At 36.3% G+C, this 22655-nt stretch overlaps 1 protein-coding gene across 1 annotated transcript; it reads left to right on the forward strand.

Annotated features, from left to right (window-relative positions):
• Positions 1 to 4001: 4001 nt before the first annotated feature.
• MINAR2 (membrane integral NOTCH2 associated receptor 2) lies at positions 4002 to 22640 on the forward strand. Its single transcript, NM_001257308.2, has 3 exons — positions 4002 to 4263; positions 16286 to 16513; positions 20792 to 22640. The coding sequence occupies exons 1-3, from the start codon at positions 4099 to 4101 to the stop codon at positions 20969 to 20971; spliced, it is 573 nt and encodes a 190-aa protein (NP_001244237.1). The 5' UTR covers positions 4002 to 4098; the 3' UTR covers positions 20972 to 22640.
• Positions 22641 to 22655: the final 15 nt, after the last annotated feature.

Consider the following 22655-nt stretch of genomic DNA (forward strand, 5'->3'; position numbering starts at 1 on the left):
ATGGGATATTGTTGCCTCTGTGCACTTTCCTTCTTTATAGGTTCACAGCCAACATCTGGTAGTGAATCTGACTTTTCTGTTGGTCAACAGGACCAACAGTTGGGAAGAAAAAACGGGTCTGGAGTTCAAGAGAGCAAAGTCAGGCTGCAGTCTGCCAGGCACATGCTGCATCTGTCTAAAAGAGACTTTCAGGTTAATGGATACTGTTTCAATTTTGCCTTCAGAATCTCATGGAAGTCCCTCTTTTGGTCGATTCTCACCTAGAATCACACAGGGAAGGGGGACTCTGGGAAACATAATTGATTTTTTAACTATAGATTGTTAATATGGCTTTAATTTTTAACTTTTCCCATTTTAGTTTTATAGCAGTTATACCTAAAGTGAAAAATACATGTTCATATGCACTCTCAAAATAACAGCAAACTTTTTTAGTGCTTAATATATGCTGAGCATTCTGTTGGCCACTATACATATTACATCTCACAGCAACCTTTAAGGTACCGTTAATATCTGTTTTTAGCTGAGGAAACCGAACCTCAGTGAGACTCAGAATGTTGCCCAAGAACACAATTTAGTTGGATCTATAGAGGCTCCCTATTACATAAATACTGTGCATTCAATTATTCTAATTGCCACCCTTATTTACCAATTTTGAAAATATAAGAAATGCACAGGATTTATATAACCCAATCACAGTCTTTCCTTGTAATCAAAACTATGGAAATAATTTCTAAATTATCTCGGTTTGATGAACCTTGATGGCTCATCTGATCATTGAACAGGCACTGGAGCTGGAAATACTTTCAGATATTTCCACTGGCTTTCAGTGATCTTGAAAGCTAGAAAGAAAAAAGAAAGAGAGAATAAAAGGGGAAAATGTGAATTATTAGGCTGGTGCAAAAGTATTTGCAATTACTTTTAGTGGCAAAAACCACAATTACTTTTGCACCAACCTAACAACAGATAAACAGTTTTGCCTGATGAAGCTGTATTTAATTCTATTTTTCCAATTCTTATGGTTCAGAAACAATTACTATGGATGCAAATCCATCCATGGGAAAATGGTACTGTAATTTTTTTAAATGCTGTAAAGAAAGAGCAAATGATTAGTTGCATGGTAAGAGTTGAGAGGCCTCAGATACCCACATTCCCACCACACTGCTCTTCCAATATAGTAACTCTTTATATGTGTTTATACCCTACATCACTCTTGAACAAAGGTATTATTGACAATAAGGGACTAGAAACCCTAAGCCAGTATTTTTAAAATTATGATCAAGTAACTTATTTTTTTAAGAGTTAACAGGAAAACAATGAAGGAGTTGTTATGTGATCAGATAAATTTTGAAAATGTTTGAGTTAACAAAACAGAATCTCTCCACCTTCATGATGAGCTTATGAACTATAAACTACCAGAAGAGAATTATAGAGGATGTCATTTTGGGCAATGGAATCCTTTTTTTTTCACTGAGTATGGTTGGAATTCAGATTTTAAAATGGAGCACCAAGACATTTTTTTAAAGTTTAATTGGATTATCAACTTTCAATCATAGTTAAGTCCTAATAGACTGGAAGAGACAACAGCAATCATTATTTATTGAGCAAAGGGCTTCATTAGGGTCTTCAGACATGACTTATTTGGAAGAGGCCATGTTATAGGGCTGCTCTTTTGTGAAGTATCCTTTAGTGTAAAGGCCCTTAAAACAAAAATGTGAAATACAGCATCAAACAAAAGATAAGAAGATGAGAGTAGAAATAAATCACTGTAAGGTTTCAAAGGAGAGAAAAATGATACCTTCTAGCAAAAATATGTAAAGGTTTTGTAAAAGGCTAGGTATCAGCGATGACCCCTGAATGACAATTAGGAGGTAGTCAACAGCCACGGATGGGAAGGAAGGTTCCAGGCAGCAGAGCTGGCATTAGCAGAGACACAGGTTCTCACTTATAACTGAGGGCTAAGAAATGCCCACACATGGATATAAAGATGGAAACAACAGACACTGGAGGCTTTATAAGGGGGGAGAAAAGAAGGGGGCCAAGGGCTGAAAAACCACCTATCGATACTACGTTCACTGTTTGGGTAATGGGTTCACTAGAAGCCCAGACCCCACCATTACGCAATATACTCAGGTAATAAACTTGCACCTTTACCCCCTGAATCTGTACTTTAAAAAGTAAAAGCTTGATTTCCTGATTTTCAGTCATTTAGGCTACCTACAGGGATAGCAATGAGAAATAAGAATTGATGGTTTTGGGGTAAAGGCAGACAAAGGATGGTGGGAGAAGATGGAGAGGCTGAGACGAAACTTGTAAGTAGAACGAGACAGTATCGAAGCCTCGGGCAACTAGGGAATGACAGAAGTATTGAAAGGAAGGATGCCTAAGGAAAACTGAAGGCTCATACCACCTACCTCATGCTTTGGCTAAGGAAAAAGCCTAATCAAATATATTTGGATCTAGGTTCTGTGTCTCTACTTGCCAATATAGAGAGCCAAAGACAAGTAAATTTCTTCTTGAAGGTGTGTGTTATTCCCCAAAGAATCTTTTAGGAAGAGCAAGCAGCCTGAGAAATATTTGTTCATTAGATATATTCTGGCAGCAACCAGGAAAATCCAGAAAGTACCAAGCACATGCACATACACATAATATACTTGACTCTTGAAACACTTTTGGTTTCACTGTTTTGTTATTAACTGTCATTATGAAGTACCTATTTCTTTATCTAGTAAATGCATTTATAAAACCATCCAAACCTATTTTAATATTGTAAAACAGTGATAGAGTTCTGGTCCAAAACATTCTTAGAGAAAATGTTAACTGCTTAATTCAGTTTTACAACTATAAGTAGGGCAGATATTTTTTAATACAGCCCCTCATGTTTATTGCTGTGAAGAAGATAAGTACTCTCCAGTGTCCTGCTTGATTCAAGAACACCCCGGCTGCTGACTCTTGTAAGGCATATGGCACTCTTCTGAGATCTAGTGCTGATACATTCCACATGTAACCCCACTGCCCCTGGAAGAGAAACTTTCCTGCTGAGTCAGAGGGGTTTATAGAGATGTGAAATTAACAGACAACCTATGTCTTTTAGAAGCTGCTAATATATCTATCCTTTGCCGTCTCACAAGTGGGGAAGTTTCTCCTCCCTCCAGATGGAAATCCATACTTTCCCAGTGAGAAGTATGGGTCACCTAAAGCAGAGTGCCTTGTAAAGAGAGAACATATCTCCATTAAAGTCATCACGACTTGCTGGCTGGCTACAACTGCCCACAGCCTCACTCCCACCACCTTGGCTCTCTTAACAGCAGATGGGTTCACTTAGAAGAGCGTGTCATCCAAACCCAGCAGCCATGTTTTTTTGGGGTTCCAAATGTGCCGTGTGAACACCAAAGCACATTGTTAAGAGCATATACAGCTAGGAACAGAGTCAAGGGGACCTAAGATAGTGAATGGGTCAAGGTGGTAGACTGGGGCACTAAATTACTGTAGCAAACTATAGAGCAAATTCTTGCCATTTCCCTCCCCAGAACAAAGCTAACAACCTAAACCTGGTTAGGTTGCACAAGAGTTGAGGCTCTGGAACATGAGAAGAAGCATAATCCTGAGTATCACATGTGAGGCTGTGGAGGCAGGGCCTAGTCAGCTGTGTTAGCTTAGCAATGTTCGAAGAGAAAAATCAAGCACTGTCTCCCTATACGTGACTGTTTCCTGTGCTCCGCATTGCGGGTTGTAACACAGATTCTGGCAGCCTTTATTCAAACAATAGTTTCCCTTAAATTGTTATTTCTGACTCTGAATGAAGAGATATTACGTGCTACACATATCTAATTCTGTCACCCTATTAATTGTAATGAGTATAGCCCCATCTGTTTCGGTCAAGCACCCTCCATGTACATGTGTGTGAGAAAGGTAGGGCAGTGTGCTGCTTTGTTTCTTTGTCCCTGTGCATTGATGTATCATCTCGAGAGCAGTGGCTGCGTGCAGCTGAGAGACTTGGTTTCAGATGCAGTCAGAGCATCCTCAGGCACATTAATAATGGAGGAGTCTGACAAGAGCAGCTTTGCCTGTCTTTGTTTTCCACTGTAGGTGAAGGGAGACATGGATCTCTCTGTTTTGCCAAATAACAACCATCCTGACAAATTCCTGCAGCTTGACGTAAAGTCTTTAACGAGGAGCTCAGCCCTCCTTCAGGCCAGCCTGGTGAGGTTTCCGGGTGGAAATTATCCTGCTGCACAACACTGGCAAAACCTTGTCTACTCACAGGTAAGATCTAGGGGCACAAAAATACGGGGATGGAGGCTTGTTTCTTTCTCGCTATCTGCCATTTCACCATTTATGCAACAAGAAGCCTATAGGAACAGAGTACAAGGTAGCTGCTCTGTCTTCCAACTTAGTCTTTCTCTCTTCCTTAACATTAGGAACTTTTCTTTAATTTATTCATAAAATACATGGATTCTCTCATTCATTAATTCCCCTCCTAGCATTAGCTTCTCTGCCTATCCTCATTTTAGATTTCAGGTGGCCCTCATTTACTCCTTCCCTTCAAAAATTTTCAAACTAATTGTTATATGCACAAATAAGACTTTGGGGGAAAAACTCCCGTCCCTATCTTTTGGTGTAATCTAAGCATAAAGCATCAGAAGTTTACATTGTGGGCATAAACAAGCCTCTAAAACAGCTGGAGATCTTGCTTCTGCCTCCCTTAGACTAGCTCCCTTTCATAGCATACACAGAAGACTTAGAAAACAGAACAATGGAAACCTAATTATTGAAGGGAAAAAATACAGCGAACTCGCCACTTGAAAAAGTGCTAGCTATTACTGTAGATACTCTTATTTTCCACAGGTGTCCATGTGGACAAGGAATACCAATTAGACCTTCAAACCCAGTGCAGGTTTTATTTCTCTTTTCTTTTGCATTTTCCTTCTTTTTGCTGACCAAAAGAGAAGAATAAAACTGTGATGAGTTCCATCAGCTGGAGTAAACATAAAGGCCCTAACTGTTGCACAGCTAATGAAACAGAAATAATCTTTGCTTTAAGACATGAAGGCTAATGGGGTTAAGAGTTAGTCAATTTAGAAACAGGAAGAAGCATTTCATTACAGAACAGATGTGACTGACCTACAAACCCCTGCAAGTCATTAAATCCTTTGGAGTGGTTCAAATTCCCTGAACAGAAATTTGTTTTCTTTTAAGAACAGTTGCTACTCATGAGTCCTGGTGTAAAGTGACTCCTTTGTGGTAAGTTTGTGGGCTCCTTGGGACCTTTATCATGAGATCATTCAAAATCAAGTACACTCAAATGATTATGTAAGTGTTTCCTCCACCTATAAGGATTTTAATTTATTTCCATTGTAAGGCAGCCTATTATGACAACTGGCATTTTTTGAATTTTGCATCAATCACTTTGGTAATCCTCAAACCCTTCTGCCATTTCATACCCAGCCATCTTGTTGTTGTTGTATTTGTAGGCGTTCTTTTTTTAAGTTTTAAATGAAATGAAATGAAATGAAATTGCTCCTTTTTCCTCCTTATTGTTTATATCACAGAATAAAATGATTCAAAAATCAGTTCAGAAAACTTGGCCCTTCTATGCTATGCAGTTTAGTCTAAGAAAACATATCCAATAAATTCCTTTGAGGTTGGAACACATTGATCTAACATCTTTTGTTTGGTACTGAAGTTGACCTATTTCCTTCATGTGGAACTTCACAGTTTAAAACTCTGTTGAATGTTGTTCCTAAACCTAAATGAAATGCAAATTTTTAAAAGGCAACTTTTTCTACAGGCCCCATTGGGTGGAAATAGTTATTCAAAGAAAAACCAAAGAGGTAAACTTCTGCTTCATAGGTCTTTGAATATGTGTTGTTAATCATTATAAACTTCAAATAAACTTGATTTAGGTATCCTTTTAGCCTAAGAAGAAATGTTAAATGACCTAGTGAAGGCCAGTGTACTAATTGGCCAATTATTAATGCATGGAGTGGAGAGGCAGGACATCAAGTACAAATTCAGGTAATCAGGTAGATGTGGCACAAAGTATGAGTAACAACAACAATATTCACCACTTCACTGTGCAATGCATCATTAACTAATTCTCTTTTGGGGATAGATCTTAAAATCCATGATTGATATATTCATTGGATAAAACAATAAATGTCATAGAAATGGCCATATAGAAGTTTTAAATATTTGCCATGATACCACGATAGCATGCCATGAAAGAAGACACTGAATATGCAGGTACACTGAGGTGTTGGGCACACATAAGGTGGTGGCTACCAAATAGTTCTTAATTTAAAGCTCACACTCCATTGGGGAGTCAGTAAGTCAATGGGAAGAACATGGAATAAAGAAGTTAGAAACTTGGTTTCTTATCTCAAATTCACAATAAACCAGTTTTAGAGACATCTGTCATGACCCTTAATTCATGCCTCAGTATTTCCACTTGCAGTATTAGGATAATATTTATTTTCCATATTTCCTTAAAAGTGAGAGCAAATGAAACATGAAGTAAAAGCAACTGAGAGCCAGATTTTCCTATAAAAGATCAAGAATATGTATGGAAGTATGTACATATGTATTGTTATTTATACCAGTATTTCAAAATGTATTGAAGTTATCCTTTCATTAGAATTTATTAGCAGATAATTCCATTTCCATTATTTTATAAATATTGTGGATGAAGGGGTGAGTGTATATGTGTGCACGCATGCACGTGTGTGCACATGGTGGTTGAGGGGATGTACTCAATAAATACGTCAACCTGCGTGACTAAACCAAGCAGTAGATATAATACCACATGAAATCTACACAAACTCCAGAGTTGTGTCAACTGATCCTTTCATCCCACACCACACAAGTGCATGGTGTTTAGGATATAGACTACCTTACCGAATGGCAAAGCACTTAACCTGCAGTCATTACCTTCAAACTCGGGGTAACTCAGCAGTTAAAACAGAGATTCCCTAGATTTGAAATGTCACATTGAATTCTTAAATATTGGTATCATTTTATTATCAATGACTTATCATCTAACTTTTAAAATTCACTTTCCATTTGCAGAGGAAACTCTCCTGGTCATTTTTATATGAGCTAAAGCAATACCATTCAATCTATTTTTTTTTTCTTTCTGAGACATAGTCTCACTCTGTCACCCAGGCTGGAGTGCAGTGGCACAATCTCGGTTCACTACAACCTCTGCCTCCCAGATTCAAGCAACTCTCATGCCTCAGCCTCCTGAGTATCTGGGATTACAGGCACCCGCCACCATGCCCAGCTAATTTTTGTATTTTTAGTAGAGATGGGGTTTCACCATGCTGACCAGGCTGGCCTCGAACTCCTGCCTCAAGGTATCCATCCAATTTGGCCTCCCAAAGTGCTCAATTATAGGCATGAGTCACCATGCCTGGCCTCAATCTAGGAAAATAAGCAGTGATGGTCTCAGTTGATTCAGTAACCAGGGACATTGTAGTTCCCATCTATGCAGATACTCAGGTCTCCCATATTTGCAGAGAGTATACACAGATATTATTTGATTCTATTATATTTATACTTCTCCTTAAATTCTTTCACCAGAGAAATAAAGAAGCTTCACAACAAATTTTATGTCAGTGTAATGAAGAAACATTCACCAAAATCTAATGTTTCTACCTGTTAGATTAATTTTGGGGATGTTTCTGATGAAGGCATTTAGAAATGTATTCCAAATATTTCTGCCAACCCCTTTATAAAACAAGTAATGAAAAAAGGCTGATTTTTTTAAACAAATGTGATAAAATAATGTGTTTTTCAAACAACCCCATCAAAAAGTGGGCAAAGGATATGAACAGACACTTCTCAAAAGAAGACATTTATGCAGCCAACAAACGTGAAAAAAAGCTCATCATCACTGGTCATTAGAGAAATGCAAATCAAAACCACAATGAGATACCATCTCATGCCAGTTAGAATGGTGTTCATTAAAAAGTCAGGAAGCAACAGATGCTGACGAGGATGTCTAGAAATAGGAACGCTTTTACACTGTTGGTGGGAATGTAAACTAGTTCAACCATTGTGGAAGACAGTGTGGCCATTTCTCAAGGATCTGGAACTAGAAATACCATTTGACCCAGCAATCCCATTACTGGGTATATACCCAAAGGATTATAAATCATTCTACTATAAAGACACATACACATGTATGTTTGTTGAGTCACTGTTCACAACAGCAAAGACTTGGAACCAACCCAAATGTCCATCAATGTTAGAGTGGATAAAGAAAATGTGGCACACATACACCATGGAATACTATGCAGCCATAGAAAAGGATGAGTTCATGTCCTTTGCAGGGACATGGATGAAGCTGGAAACCATCATTCTCAGCAAACTATCACAAGAACAGAAAACCAAACACGGCATGTTCTCACTCATAATAGGAAGCTGAACAATGAGAACATGTGGACGCAGGGAGGGGAACATCACACATCAGGACCTGTCCGGGGTTTAATGGCAAGGGGAGGGATAGCATTAGGACAAATACCTAATGCATGCAGGGCTTAAAACCTAGATGATGGGTTGATGGGTGCAGCAAACCACCTTGGCACAGGTATAACTATGTAACAAACCTGCATGTTCTGTACATGTATCCCAGAACTTAAAGTATAATTTAAAAAAATTCAAATGGCAAGAAAGAAAAATGTGTGTCTTTTTTTTTTTTCCATTTATTGTGGTGGGCCTTAATTTTCTAATTAGCAGTTGCACGTCAGAATATTTTCAGACTAACTCCTTTGTTATATCTTTTCCTGGCTTCTGTCACATCAGTTTCAGAATCAAGGAGCATTCCAGACTAAACCCGTGAGATGGAGGGAAAGGCTAAGGGCGAGAGGCTGCTCTTCCATTGATTTCTAGACAATGTCATTTACTGAATTTATTTCCTAATCACCTTTCTGCACTCTTTTTCAATTCAGTCACACTCTTTTTTCCCATAAATTTCAATGTCTTTCCTTTTTATCATGGGTTTTTTTTTGTGTATAATTGTATTTCTTCTGTCTCTGAACACACGTCATGCCTTCCTAAGACTGTCTCTATTTTCAATCTTCCATTTATTGTTTTGAAAAAAACAGTGCTGGGGCCGGGTGCCATGGCTCATGCTGTAATTCCAGCACTTTGGGAGGCTGAGGCGGGCAGATCACTTGAGGCCAGGAGTTCAAGGTCAGCCTGGCCAACATGGCAAAACCCCATCTATAGTAAAAATACAAAAATTAGCCTCCCGTGGTGGCATGGCCTGTAATCCCAGCTACTCAGGAGGCTGAGGCATGAGAAACACTTGAAGCTGGAAGGCAGAGGTTGCAGTTAGCTAAGATCGTGCCACTGCATTCTAGCCCAGGCAACAGAGCAAGACTGTCTCAAAAAAAAAAAAAAAAAAGTCCCAGCACTTTGGGAGGCCGAGGCGGGTGGATCAGCAGGTCAGGAGTTCGAGACCAGCCTGACCAACATGGTGAAACCCCGTCTCTACTAAAGATACAAAAAATTAGCTGGACTTGCTGGCGCGCACCTGTAATCCCAGCTACTCCGGAGGCTGAGGCAGGACAATCGCTTGAACCGGGGAGGTGGAGATTGCAGTGAGCTGAGATCGCGCCATTGTTCTCTAGCCTGGGCAACAGGGTGGGACTCCGTTGAAAGAGAGAGAGAGAGAGAGTGAGAGCGTCAGAGAGAGAGAGAGACAGAGAAAGGAAGGAAGGAAGGAGAAGAAGAAAAAGAGAAAGAAAGAAGAAAAAGAAAGAAAAGAACAATACTGCACAATACAATCATTTCTCCTTTCTAAGCTTATATTGGATGACAATGTGGTACTTTGCAGGTGCTTATATTATCTACGAAGTAGATTGATAGCATCATCAAGTTCTTCAGGGTACCAAGTTGTACTAAATTTATAGGATTAGGGAATTGGCCACGGATGGTATATTTCCAAAAAGAACACCCAAATTGCTCCTCCAAACTGTTCTTAGTTGAGACCCAAATGTCTCTGGCATGAAAGCCTATATTAAAGGTACCTTGTATGTTATAATACCACCTGTGAGCACAAAGAGCCCTGGTTATCTGCAGGGAAAGGCAGGACATAAGGTTTCAGAGAAGCCTGAATCACACCATGGAGGGTCCATGGGCTTTGTCTAAGATTTTGAATTTTACCCTGAAAATTTTGAAGAATCAGTGAAAAATTTAAGCAGAAGAATGACACAATCAAATATGTGCTTTAGAAAGCTTTCCATTCTAGCAATTTAAAACAAAAATTTTGTGTTCACAAAAGAGCTGATTTTCTGAGAAAGTGTATGTGCTGACATATGAAATACATGCAAAATGCCTTCTTTTCACTAAGATTATGATAAGGATTACACTGAATGCATAGATCAAAATGGAGAAAACAGAAATCTTTATATGACCTTGATTCTCTCAATCCATGACCATGATGTATCGTTTTATTTTTTCAGTTCTTCATATGGCCTTCGATAATATCTTGTAATTCTCCACACAAAACTATTCCATATAATTTGTTAGGTTTACATCTAAATACTTACATTATTTTTCTCTTGGTAATAGTACCTTTTAAGTCATGTTTTATAATAGAGCATTACTCATGCATACTATTGATCATTATATACTGATTTTGAATCCAGAAAGTGTGTTAACATCTATTTTGCCCATAAACATCCCTGTAGATAATCATGTCATCTGCTATTTGTTTATTTATAACCCTATTTCTTTTATTTACTTATGTTTCTATTCTTTTTGCATTGCTTTGAGCTTCCACTGCAAAATTATATGGACATTGTGATTACTAGCATCCTTTTATTAATTCTGAAACTAAAATAAGTGTTTCTAATATTAAACCATTAAGTAAACTGTGTTCTGTAAGTTTGGGGCCCATTCCCTTAATTAGCTTAAGAAAATTTTCTACTAGTTCTAGTTCACTAAGAGTGTTTGCTTTAAATATGTTTGAATATTTTGAAAGTCTTTTTCTGACCTATTGCAAAATTTAATGTTTTTTTCCTGTTAATGTGGTAAATTTCATTAATATTCTAATATTAAACCATCCTGTTGGTATAACATCTTTCCCTGGTAAAAATCTGTTTTATCTTGTTACATATAATTTGTACATATTGTAGGATTCTGTTCAGCAATATTGCATTTATAATTTTACATTTATGTGTATAAGAGAAATTGGCTTATACTTTTCTTTTACTGACTGCCCTCATCTGAAGTTTATACTAACTTCAAAAGTGAGCTGGGGATTGTTCCTTTTCCTATTTTCTGGAAGAATTTGACTAATAAATTATATATTTTGAGAATGGTAGAAGTTGACTGCAAAACCCTCTGACATGCTGTTCTTAAATGTGTGTGTTTGGAGGAGGTTTAAAACTATTGATTCGACTAGTCAAATTATCACAGGTTTGTTAATTTTTTTTTTAGTTTTTCTTAAATAAGTTTGGTAAGTTATATTATGTAAGAAATTGTCCGACTGCACATAAATGTTTTAAGTCGCTCAGATTATTTTCTGATTGTTTCTTAATTTCTGCTGTGTCTCTTGTCAAGTCCCCTTTACATTCCTAACTGGGTGCATTTGTGTCTCTATTATTTTTCTTGAGCAGTATTGCCAGAGATATTTCAAATGTGTTTTTCCAATGAAATAGCTTTCAACTTTGTTTATCTTCTCCATTGTATATATTTATTCCCTTTAATATGTGTTGATTCTGTCTTTACATTTATGATTTTATTTTGACTGTTTTATTATATTTATTCAATGGCTTTATTTTTAAGACTTTGAATTCAATGCTTAATACCTTATTAATTTTCTCATTCTGCTTTATAATGCAAGTATATATGCCCATAATATTCTCTCAAAATACCATTTCAGATCCAGCCAACAATTTTGTAATGTAGCATTTCTCACTTTCATTCTGTCCTAAATTTTAAAATGTTTATTATTATTTCTTTGAAATGTATTTTTAAATGTCAGCAGAATGTTTTATTTTATGTTGTTGATAATGATTTCTAGATTTATAACTAAGTTGTCAATGGTCGAAAAGCATGGTCCAAGTGATTTTGAGTCTTTGAAATTTGTTTTGGAATTTAACATGCTATCAATTTTATAAAATTTTCAGTATATATTTTTAAAATAAGTATTTTCAATTGTTTAATAAAGACATCCATATATGTCACTTGAACAAACTTTTGATTTTATGGTTCACATCTTCTTTATTCTTTTTTTTTTCCATAAGTTATTGAGGTACAGGTGGTATTTGGTTACATAAGTAAGTTCTTTAGTGGTGATTTATGAGATTTTGGTGCACCCATCACCCAAGCAGTATACACTGCACCATATTTGTACTCTTCTATCCTTCACCTCCTCCCACTCTTCCCTCCAAGTCCTGAAAGTCCATTGCATCATTCTTATGCCTTTGTGTCCTCATAGCCTAGCTCCCACATATCAGTGAGAACATACGATGTTTGGTTTTCCATTCCTGAGTTACTTCACTTAGAATAATAGTCTCCAATCTCACCCAGGTTCTTTATTCTTAATGATTATTTTGCATGCTTGAGAAAAATTACATGTATAAATTTCTCTGTGTAATTATTTTAAGTTTTGTTTTATAAATGTTGAGACTATTTTATTAGATGCATACAAGTTTAGAATGACAATATTTTACTAATGTTAACTAACTTTATTCATTTTCTAGAAACATTCTTTATATCTAGCAAAGCTTTTGACCGTGTCTATTTTGTCTCCAAGGATCTTGCCAGGAATTTTACTGGTCAAGCTTGAGTTTCATTAGGTTTGCTGAGTGTCTAGTAAGGCTTTCCACAGTAAAAAAAAAAAAAAAAAAAAAAAACACACACACACAAACATATATGTATATACACACATATATACACATATGTGTGTATATTTATATATAATGGTATATGAATATATTATATATGCCATATGTATCACCTAATATATATATATATATATCTCATCACATATGTATAATCATCTTCTGCTATATAGAGCACATTCACAAGAGTCCTGAGATGTGTGTAGTGTCACAAAAAAAGAAAGTGAGCCAAAATCTTGTGAAAGATTTCAAGGGCCAGGCTTGGAAGTGGTCTTTCATCCACAAGTCAATGGACATAAAACATGTGGCCCCAATATAAAATCAGAAACAGACTGGGAAAGGCAGATATCCTCTGTGCTTAGGAAGTGGAAACAAAATTAGCGAGCATTTAGTCAGTCACAACACCCAGTTCTCAATGTTTACATTTGTCTAGTATAAATTTTTATATTTTTTTACTCTAATTCTTTCTGAATCTTTATATTTTAGGCATTTCTGTTGTAAATATTTTATAATTTAATTCATTTTTTGAAATCTGATCTGACAATCTCTGTCATTGCAATAGGGAGTTTATTCCATCTACATTTAATGTGATTATTTATAATTGTTTTTCTGTTTCTGAGATTTTCCACCTGTATTCTTTTTTTGTAGTCTTTTTAAAGATTGTTTAGTCTTCATCTTTTTCCTACTGCTCTGGTGACTTAGAAGCTGTACATTCTTTCTCTGCTTGTTAGTAATATCTCTATCTCCTCACTGAAATTATTTCTTAAAATTTTCTAATAAAAAATGTGTGTTAAACTTACTATACTCCAGTGTATTCATTTCTCTTACTTTAAAATTCACAAATTAGTGATTATTACTATTTTCTCTATTTCACCTAAATCAATACTTGCATGGATTCACACACACATTTATCAGTTTTTTTGCTTTCTGTCTTTCTTTCTCTCTCATATTTCTCTTTTACCTTAAACGTCTGTTATCAACTTTCTTCTTCCTGAATTACATTTTTAGAGTTTTTACAATAAACTATGAATTTTGTACACTTAATTTTCTTTGTTCAAAAATGCCTTCTATCTCACTCTCTTTATTGAATTATAGTTTACTTCACACAGAGTATATAATGATTAAAGTGTATAAATGATAAATGAATAAAGTTATGCTTAATACAGAAAAGCCTAGGTAAGCTTTGAAGTGTTACCTTTTTTAAATAAATATTTTAAAAGGTAATTTATTTTAGTGCCCAAGTAATTAAAATAGTTGAATTACTACTGAGTTTTCCTCTGGTAAATGTATTCTTTCTTGTGCAGTACAGTGAAGGGTTTTTTGTTGTTGATGTTCTGAAAGTTATTTTAAAAAATTTATCAAGATACAAATAAAAGCTCAACCAAAAGCGTATTGCTTATTTTGTGATTAAATTCATAATAAATTTATACTATTAATTTTCCTTCGTCTGTCTCTCAGACATAAATTCACATGCAGTGCAAAAATAAATAGCACTATGCTCTATAATAAACCTCACAACTTTCAAAAATATCATCTAGAAATAAGGGTTTGAATGTTCTTTTAAAATGTATCTCTGAGTATTTTGCTACTTTTACACATTAGATTTTCTAAGTCTATATACATTGTAATAGAGTGTGTACTTTTTTTCTTGATCTCCCCAAAACTGTATTTTCATTTATAGATCTTTCTTATTTAAGAAACTTGGCCAACAGTGTAGAAGACAATCTGACAAAGCCAATTTGTCAGTGTCAGGAGAATTATCCCCCTTCAGAGATGATCAAAGATGCCTAGCCTTGAAGAAAAAAAAAATTAAGTAAAAATTATGCTAAGCTCATATCATTTAAATTTCTTATCAAATTACTTTTTTCTCAATTCAGAAACATTACTTTTGAAGCAGTCTATCTTTGAGATAAATGCTAAGCCAAGAAGATTTATTATTTCATTGCAAACTACAGTTTTACAGAATGTAAGTTGACTTTGAGCAGACCAAGGACCTATTAAACTCAGAGAAGGGTCTGCAAGTTGAGCTCTAAGTATGTGAAAAATGCATGGATTAAGAAAATTAGGGAAATCCAACACCGAAGAGAATGGGAATGGTTTTATCTAGATGATTTTTTTTCCTGCTAGCCATTTCAGAAGGAAACTACATTTAACAGTTTCCAACTTTAGCTTATATAATATAAATTAATGTTACCTATATACACTAATAAATGTTGACAGCATCAGAGTATTGATAATCATAAATATGACTCAGAAGAATAAAATTCCTATTAAATATTCTCTGGGGTGTCTAAAATACATGACATACATTTACTGAAAAATATCTGTGAATTAAGGAAATGAGCCACTTCTTTTTAAAGATTAAAGATTATCTAAAATTAACTTATATGAAATCCCTCTCTTGATGTCCCATGACAAATGAAACATGACTCTATAAGCTTTTTGATTCTTCTCAATTTGTATTTGACCAATGAACAAATTTTAATTTCCAAAATGAACAAATTTTTAATTTCTACCTTCATGATAGCTTGATATACTTAAGAAGGAAACAAAACAAAGTAAAAATCTGAAGGTCAAGCCAGACACAGAAAAGCGCACATTATATGATTTTATTTATAGAAAATATGAGATGAATCCAAACTAATCTATGCTGTTAGAATTTGGGTGCTATTATAGTTATGCTTTGGGCAGGGGGAGGGAGGGTGACTGGAAAGGAGCATGAGGTGTGCTACTAATGTCATATTTCTAGGTCTGGATGTTGAATCTTGAGTTTGTTTGGTTTGCAAGAATTTATAGAGCTATGTATTTATATATATGAATATTATGCTTCAATTTGAAAAGTTTTTAAAAACCTGAAAATCAGTATTAGAGCTATCTAACAGTCAGTCTTTACACACACACATGCTAAATTACATGTACAGTGCTAAGTTAGCTTAGACCTCAAAGCTGTCTGAAATGGGAGACATGATAGTATTTGTGAAAGTCGAGGCATATCTCTAAAATGTCTTTTAATTTTGACTTTGCTGGATTAGCACAATAATATTAAATACTATTTTAATAAGTCATGGAATATAAAAATAGAGATAAGTAAAATATCATTAAATCTCAATGCAAATAACCTGAGAAAAGTTGGCTTTGTTTGGAATTCTACTGTTTGAATTAGAGAGTAAAGAAGGCTCTTTCTCTGTAGTTATAAAATAGCATTTTAATGAATGATTAGTAAAGCTGTTCAAGATCACACACAAAGAAAAAACTCAATTAATGTTAGATTTCTAGGTCAAACGAAACCCTAGAATCCTTTTCTCATTCATTGTCCTAATCTGTTGTGTTTCTGCACAAAATCAGCACATTATCAGGTAGTTATCTCACATTGCATTCCCTACTATCAGAAGGCCCGTTGCTAAGAGATGCCTTGTTTCTTTGCCTCTTAGAGGGAAAAGAAGAATATTGCTGCTCAACGAATTAGGGGATCCAGTGCAGACAGCCTTGTCACTGCTGATAGCCCCCCACCATCCATGTCATCAGTTATGAAGAATAACCCACTCTATGGTGACCTAAGTTTGGAGGAAGCTATGGAAGAAAGAAAAAAGAACCCCTCATGGACCATTGAGGAATATGACAAACATTCCCTGCACACAAACCTCTCTGGACATCTGAAGGTACTCACGACTAAGAGTCAACCTCTTCAACTGATAAGGGAGATCAGTCAAATAATCCTAAAAGAAAGCAATATTGAAGTGACAGGTACTCTTCACTAGGCGCAGAATCTCTAGATTTCAGAGCATTTTGGCTCCTGGCTTTTCTTTCTCCCTCCTAGTCAGTATTTGTGTTTATTTGTTTTGAGTTTTACAGTTTCAACAGTTACTGGCAACTGTACAGTGTAGAGAAGAAAAAAGCCATGTGGTACAGAACAAAGGTTTTCCAGGAGGGTAAAAGGTTTATTGAAAATTAATTTGCAAGATCACATTTTCTGTCAGTTTGTAAACATTTATGTTCATGAACACTTAAGAGCTGATTCCCTAGTCTACATTTATTCAAAAATATTTATTAAGTGTTCTGTGTTAGGCACTGTGCAAGGAACTTCTCATCAAAGATTATTTTATCTCAGCCCTCTCAGTGATTTAAGATTGCAGATTTACATTTTGGTTATTTTCCTGTGTCTCAGTAACAAAACAAAACAAAAACATTTCAACACAGGAAAAGTATGCAATGAACTCATTCACCCAGCTTAAACCCAACTTAAGTTTTTCTTTCTTTGTTTGCCCCCACTGGTGTCACCCCATCACATGAAAAACTTCAAAATACCTGAAAAGCAAGGAAGCAGCCCTCTGTTTTCTGAATGGACTGGATTCCTACCCAGCCTTGGCTTGCCTCCACCTGCCCTAGGCCAGGAAGGCCTGCCATTTTCCAAGTATATACCCTTCATTTAAAAATGTTTATCTAAGCTAAGCCCCATACCTTAAGCACTCGAGAATTTTTTTCTTTTTTTTTTAAAGAGGACAGCACCCTGTCTCCTTGAATCCTACTCACACTTTTTACAATTTCAAATATGTGCTGCTCAAAAGATCCACTGTCCAGAATCTTTGAAGTTTCTTAATCTCTTAGTAGATTGAATGTATCTCCTCCTTTACGTAGCCCATTTTCCAGAGAAGTTTACATAACAGATGCTCTCCACAGAAACAATAATCTTGTGTTTCTTTTTCCTTCTTTCTTTAAATTTTGCATTCCTTACCAAGAGTCTTAAGGACATCTAAAAAGTCACCCCTACTATTAGAAAAAAAAGTACTGATTTATTTTACAGACATTTCTTGACTGTATGTTAGGGCCTCTTCCTTTTGCTGTTTACATGCAAAATAAGGGAACTATGGAGGTGAATGTTCCTGTCCCTACCCTCAAAAAGTTGATCTAACTGAGCAAACTAACAGACAATAACTATAGAACAAGATAAAGGAAGCTAACGGTAATAGTAACAGAAAGTGCCATGCAGTGTTCTAACTCATAAGTGGGAGCTGAACAATGAGAACACATGGACACAGGGAGGGGAACAACACACGCTGGGGCCTGTGAGGGGTGGGGGACAAGGGGAAGGAGAACATCAGGACAAATACCTAATGCATGCGGGACTTAAAACCTAGATGACGGGTTCATAGGTGCAGCAAACCACCGTGGCACAGGTATAACTATGTAACAAACCTGCACATTCTGCACATGTATCCCATAACATAAAGTAAAAAAAAAAATCTGTACCCCAAATTCTCAAGATACACTTTACCTATATAGAAAACTAGCACATGTAACCCTGAAGCTAAAATAAAAGTTCACAAAAAAAGAAACCAAAATGCCTTTTCCCTCACATTTGCCAATACTGGTTACTTTTCAAATAAATTATCAATGATTGGAAAAAATGGTAACACATTGTTTGCTGATTTTCATTTTTCTGATTACCAGGCAAGGCTGAACATTCCAGTAAAAGTATAAAATTTGTTCACTATAAAAGCCCAAATTAGGATTAGTGTGATAGCACATAATTATCTCCTGTTAAATGTTGCCATAGGCTTACCTATGATACTCTTCATTCTCCGTCCTAGGAAATTGCTGATTTTCAGGTTTTCTGCTCTTTGTGGAATTAGTCCATCATCACCATTGCCAGCAGCAGCACAATCAGTCAGGTTTTCTGATAATCCCATGTTATTACTTCCGTGCTTCTTTATTTCTTCTTCAACCTTGAGTAGAAGTTTGATATTAAGAATGGTTATTACTTTATACAATAAAAAGAAGTTTTGTTTCACTGAAAAAAAAATAAAGAAGAAAAATAAAGAAGACAAAGTGCCTGTAGGATAGGAAGGGGGCACAAATCACATCTGATTATAAAAGGACTTCATGAAAAAATAAACTTATGGGCTTGAAGGATGTATAGAATTCCCAAAGGTATAGATGGTTTGCCTAAGTGGGAAGGCTCTTTTGTCAGGAGTAGCAAGAGCAAAGGCAGAAATATAGGAGATACAGGTTAAGTAACAGAATAATGAGAAAATAAGGCTAGAAAATAAAGCTAAAAAATGTTTGAATGCTACACTTAGGAAACTGAATATTATTGGCAATAGGGAGTAATTTTTTAAGCTGGACAATTATATGAATTATGTTTAGGAAGAATGAGCCATATATACAATGAGTGCCATGTTTTACTACAATTAGGACCTGCTCCCTCCCCTACCCAGTCCTCTGTTTACACTCTCACTCTCCCTAAAGCAGTGGACTCTGAGGTCTGAGGCCTGTTTTACAGGTCTCATAAGGTTATTCGTCAGCACTAACTTCCTGAGAGAAGCTTCTGGAAACCATAACTTTGGTTTTCATTAAAATTTTTTCTTATGCCTCATTAATTCAACTTTCATCTTCACCCTTGTCTATATCTCATAGAGCCCCTAACTTACTTTCTGAAACCTTGACACCACTTTTAGGCTATAAACCCAAGTCCCTGTGGTCACTCCCATTTTTCTACATTGGTAAGAGTTTATAAGCCAGAAAAGAGAAAAGAAATCCATGTTTAATTACAAAGGAAAGCTATATGCAGAATGTGACAAAATAGTCTCTATTAATGAAGCTCTTAGTGGAGAACAGAGGCATTAAACTTACAGAGTGCAGGCCTCTGATGATAGGACACAAAATGAAGGATAGGCATGAGGTAGATGAGGATTTTTACATCATTACCCTTCTTCACAGATCATCCATATTTTATTTTAACATTTTAGCATTTCTAAAACTAAGAAGTTCCAACTAGTACTAGGGTAATGGGAGAATTATATTGCCATCAGCAGAATCTATCCTCGCTTTCTATTAATACATGCATGCACATTCCTCTCCTAGCAGTGCACCTGGAAGTCTGAAGCTAGTTCATTGACCCCTGATGCTGATAAAGAAAACTTGCTGTGCCACATTTCAGCTAGCTTTAAGTCTCCTGAGACTGGAGAGGCAAAGAGAGGGTAGGCAGTCCACTGTAAGCCATTACAATAAAGCAGATGAAATATAATGAAGCATGAAGTAGGTTTGTGAAAGCAGAGATTGAGTATTCATTGTAAATTTGTTGTATAGAAGGCATAGACACCAAATCTACAGCACCAAAACATAGCAAGAGATGTAATAGGAAAAAAATGTATTTTTATAAATGTATGGACAATAGACTTTGCAGGTGATTTATCAGGTACAGGAGATCAGGTTGACTTGATAATTCTATGGGCCTGAAGGAAAGATGAAGTCTGTGAAAGAAAGAGAGACATGGGGAATAAATAAGAGCTGATGTGGGGAAGAATATAATGGGTCCTTTTTTCAGGAGGTCAAACAAAGTTTCTGCATGCCAGACATGTGGCAGCCCTCTACAAGGAAAATCAGTGGGTCAAGAGTAATGGAAGAGACTCCTGACTTTTAGCCCTACTACTTCCATGAAAGTCAGCTTCCGGGTTTACTGAAAACCCCACCAAGCATGTTTATTCCTGGCATGCAGACAAAATCAAACCTCAAAGGTTCATCTAAAGCAAAGAATTTTCATTTTATTTCAACTTACTATGCTGAATTACATGCACTATTTATAGGATGTAAGGAACACCAAATTGGCTACAATGTGATAGAAACACCGTTGTGTTTCTGACCCTCTGATGTGAGCAATTTAATTAAAGAATCATGAAGGCCTCCTAATTAATTCTGATGCAGACCTACAAATTGGAATTGCAGGGATTCCTTGTCAGCCAGGAGACTGTAGCTGCAATTTTATGCTATTCAAGGAAGCCTCATACCGCTCATGTGAGCCATGACATTGAAGCCTTGCCCAGGACAGAGTGAATATGGACCATCAGTCCCCATGACAGTGTCTTGTTCTGCAATCTCAATTAATTTGTAACACTGACTGATTACTGATTAATCATATTCTCTATGTAATTTTCTTTTAGGAAAATCCTAATGACCTGCGGTTTTGGTTGGGAGACATGTACACTCCAGGTTTTGACACTTTATTGAAAAAGGAAGAGAAACAAGAGAAGCATTCAAAATTCTGTCGTATGGGTCTGATTTTACTTGTCGTTATCTCCATCTTGGTTACCATAGTGACTATCATTACTTTTTTCACCTGAGGAAACTGCAACAATCAGAGCTACTTTAAATTTCCTAAAAATTTTTCTGATAAACATTTGAAACCCCCCCCACCAAAATAACAAAAAAACACATGTACATGCAGTGTGAATGGATTGTTGATTGTATTATTAAATGTAATTGTCCTGAAGAATGTGAATGTCAGGCGTGGTATGCTGGCTTCTCCACTTTGTTCTATAAAAGCTTTCTAAGAGTGCCACCCTGAACTTTGGGAAGCAGGAATTCTGAGGACCATAATCACAGAATAGTCACTATATGCAACCCACATTAAATATCTTTATAGGGAGCAAACAGTATCAAAAATTGTCAGCAGCTTTGTTTTCATGCTTAAACTATATTAACCTTGTTTTAAAAATACTGTTAACTCTTTACCACCTCATCCTCCTGTGATCACCAGAAAAGTTTGAGCTGATAATTTTTTTTTTAACCAACTGCTGGGTAGCTAGGATAAAAATCTTCCAGTTGTGCTGCCAACTGAGTTAGATTCATTCTCTGTTTTATTTTCCTGTATTTCTGTTTAAGTCAGAAAAAAGGAAAAAGGGAAATATCTTATTCAAATCTATTCTTATTTCCCCAGTAATCATCTATGATGCCCCAATTTCATGTTGCAATTTTAATAGAATTAAACTTGGATAGGCCATAGTTACATAATTAATTACATTTAGATCCAATTTATCCAAATTGGCTGTGACCCCTGGTGGCAGTCAGTGTGCATATATTACCAACCATGGTCTAGGTTGGGGGTCCCTAGGAAAGCAGAGGGAATACTGCTAAGAGAACAGAGTTTGAAGCCTAACTGCTACTTGCTAACAGACTCTGGCAAGTTATTCTCTCAGAGAAGGAATGATATTACCTGCCCAACAGGGCTGGCCAAAGGACCAAATACAAAACAGGTATGAACAGTATCTGGCTCGAAATAAGCAGTTGCTTAATTAAAGGCAGTTGTTATTATTAATTTATGCTAGCTAATTGACAACCTGAGTTTACCTTCCATTGTCTGCAGATACCTGGGGACATGGTTGTAGACACAGATGGGGAATCAAGTCACCATCCTGCCCTTCCTTCTAGAACATCCTTTCCTAAGCCCCTCATTCCCACTCTTTTCTCATCTTTAAACAACCCAGCCAAAGGCTATCTTATGCAAGAAACAAAAGAGGGACTTTCTCTTCTTCTCATGAGCCTAAAGTCAGATTTTGTCCCTTGATATTGCCATATCATTTTGTTGTATTTGTCTTAAAGATGCTTGAAATAAAGTACAGTAAAAGACAGTTTGGGCTGGGCGCGGTGGCTCGCGCCTGTAATCCCAGCACTTTGGGAGGCTGAGGTGGGTGGATCATGAGGTCAGGAGTTCGAGACCAGCCTGGCCAACATAGTGAAACCCCGTCTCTATTAAAAATACAAAAATTAGCCGGGGCTTGGTGGCAGACACCTGTAGTCTCAGCTACTTGGGAGGCTGAGGCAGGAGAATCTCTCGAACCCTGGAGGCAGAGGTTGCAGTGAGCCGAGATTGTGCCACTGCACTCTAGCCTGGGTGACAGAGTGAGACTTCCATAAAAAAAAAAAAAAAAAAAAAACAAACAAACAAACAAAAAAAACCCCAAAAAAAGAGACAGTTTTACTGGACAATAAAGTTGTTGTGTAGAAAAAAAACGGCGTTAGTCATAT

The sequence above is a fragment of the Homo sapiens genome, chromosome 5 (genome assembly GCF_000001405.40).
Source record: "Homo sapiens chromosome 5, GRCh38.p14 Primary Assembly".
Classification (NCBI taxonomy): Eukaryota; Metazoa; Chordata; class Mammalia; order Primates; family Hominidae; genus Homo; species Homo sapiens.

What these genes read in the sequence shown, in the direction of transcription:
- MINAR2 (NM_001257308.2), top strand. Translation starts at nt 4,099, where the DNA reads ATGGATCTCTCTGTTTTGCCAAATAACAACCATCCTGACAAATTCCTG. An exon ending in AAAACCTTGTCTACTCACAG is followed by an intron (nt 4,264 to 16,285) that starts GTAAGATCTAGG and finishes TTTGCCTCTTAG; the next exon opens with AGGGAAAAGAAGAATATTGC. An exon ending in ACCTCTCTGGACATCTGAAG is followed by an intron (nt 16,514 to 20,791) that starts GTACTCACGACT and finishes ATTTTCTTTTAG; the next exon opens with GAAAATCCTAATGACCTGCG.